Source organism: Homo sapiens, chromosome 14 (assembly GCF_000001405.40).
Source record: "Homo sapiens chromosome 14, GRCh38.p14 Primary Assembly".
Lineage (NCBI taxonomy): Eukaryota > Metazoa > Chordata > Mammalia > Primates > Hominidae > Homo > Homo sapiens.
Genome location: NC_000014.9, coordinates 58,242,870 through 58,244,842, shown reverse-complemented (window position 1 = coordinate 58,244,842; position 1,973 = coordinate 58,242,870). Strand labels below are relative to the sequence as shown.

Genomic DNA, 1,973 nt, shown 5'->3' with positions numbered 1-1,973 from the left:
AACAGGCCCGCTCATTGGCTGAACTGCCAACCAATAACCTTTTTCTCTGTGGCTCGTTCCGCGGCTCCGGCCCCCAGGACGAGGAGTATTGTGGGAAAAAAGCGGGCCGCGAGAGGCTGGCGGCGCGCATGTGCAGAAGCAATGGAGGCGGGGTTGGGGAAAGCAAAGGCTCCTCCTTCGGTTCGCGTACTTTGAGCCGCTTGGCGTCGTGGTATCTGAGAAGCTGCTCTATTCCTTTCCTTGGAATTATTATTTATCTTTTATATTATTATTCTCTCCTCACTTTATTCTTTCTTTAAGCCAAAGGGAGAGATGCTGGTATACTCTCACAAAAAGTAGAAAAAGCAGTAGGCGCGAAGTAACCTGTCTTCCTCCGCGTCCCGACCCTGACCCAGAATCTTGATGGCATCCACTTCACCTCCTTGTGCTCAGGCTCTCGTGAAGTTTCACTTAAAGGGTATCGTCTTTGAATTCAGCTTAGAATTTTACGGAAGTATTAGTGCTCTTTCTATGAGTATAACGCTTTTTGGTAAGAGTTAAAGATAAGTCTGATTAAAGATATTTTTTGAGCGCTAGTATATTCCACGTGTTCAAGAAAAAGCCGTGAACAGAGCATACCCCCATTTCTAATGTAATTTCCATTCAGTGGGAATAAATAGGTAACAATAAATAAGCAAAATAGTAAGAAGAAAGAGTGCTTTAATAGACAATGGAGGTACTAACTTTAGGCAGTGTGCTCAGGGAATGACTTTCTGAGTGAGTGATATTTAAACTAAAATAGGGTAACAAAAGACAGTGGTTTAGGGAACAGTAAAAAACTTGGCTTGCGCTGGGAACTGTCACGTCAGAGTGACCTCTCATAATGATTAAGTGGGGAAGAATGACAGGAAGAGAACAAGTGCACAGGAGACCAAATCTTGAAGTGGTTTGAATTTTAATCCGATTGTAAATAGGGCATCAGCATTTTTTTTACTCCTAAATATTAATACGTCAGTGTGTATTTTCCCCCAACACAGGAACATTATTTCACAGAGACACAGTATTATTGTGAAAATCAGAAAATTACCAATACTATGATCTATCAACTTTATGCATTTTTTTTTTTTTTTTGGTAAATGGCCCAATAATGTCCTTCATAGCAAAAGAAAATCCAAGATCACACCTTGCATTCAGTTGTCATGTTTCCAATCTGCTTTAGTCTGGAAAATAGTTGCTTAGTATTTCTTCAGTTTTCATGGCATGAACACTTTTGAAGAATACAAACCATTTATTTTGTAGAATATTCCTTAATTTAGGTTTGATTTTTTTGTTATTTGATTCAAGTGATGCATTTATGGCAGGAATACTACAGAAATGACCTTGTATTCATTCATGTCAGAGCATTACATTAGAAGGGACATGATGTTAGTTGTTTTATTGCTGGTAATGTTAACTTTGATCACTTGCTGAAGATTTATCCCTGATAATGTTTCATTTTTCCCTTTGTAATTAGTATCTTGTGAGGAAATACTTTGAGAATATGTACACATCCTGTTTACGCCTCAACATTTCACTCATTAATTCTAATATCTGATGATTCTTATTTGAATTGATTATTACAATGGTTGCCAAATGGTGATTTTCTAATTCCATCATTCTTTTCACATTTATTATTGGTTTTCTACTGTGAGGTTATCAGGAGTTTTTAAAGCAAGAGAATTATATGATTTGATTTAAATCATTAAATGACCTCTTGTTTCTGTGTGAAGAATGATAGCTAAGGGAAAGAAGAGAGGCAGGGATACTAGTTGGAAAGTTATTGCACTTTTGTGAGCTAGCAGTAATGGAGAGTGATTTGGACTAAAGTGGTGGCAGTGGAGGTGGAAATATGTAGATGGATTTCAGATGTGTAGGGAGCTATGGTTTGAATGTCCCCTTCAAAACACGTGTTGAAATTTAATTGCCAATGTAATGGTATTGCGATGTGGGGCCTT

At 38.0% G+C, this 1,973-nt stretch overlaps 2 annotated features.

Moving 5' to 3' along the window:
- Window positions 157–356: an enhancer, noted in NCBI's record as "active region_8447". NCBI's record gives its function as "activates an Ori minimal core promoter by ATAC-STARR-seq in GM12878 lymphoblastoid cells {active_cell/tissue: GM12878}" and the evidence as "EXISTENCE:reporter gene assay evidence [ECO:0000049][PMID:35858748]".
- Window positions 397–446: an enhancer, noted in NCBI's record as "active region_8446". NCBI's record gives its function as "activates an Ori minimal core promoter by ATAC-STARR-seq in GM12878 lymphoblastoid cells {active_cell/tissue: GM12878}" and the evidence as "EXISTENCE:reporter gene assay evidence [ECO:0000049][PMID:35858748]".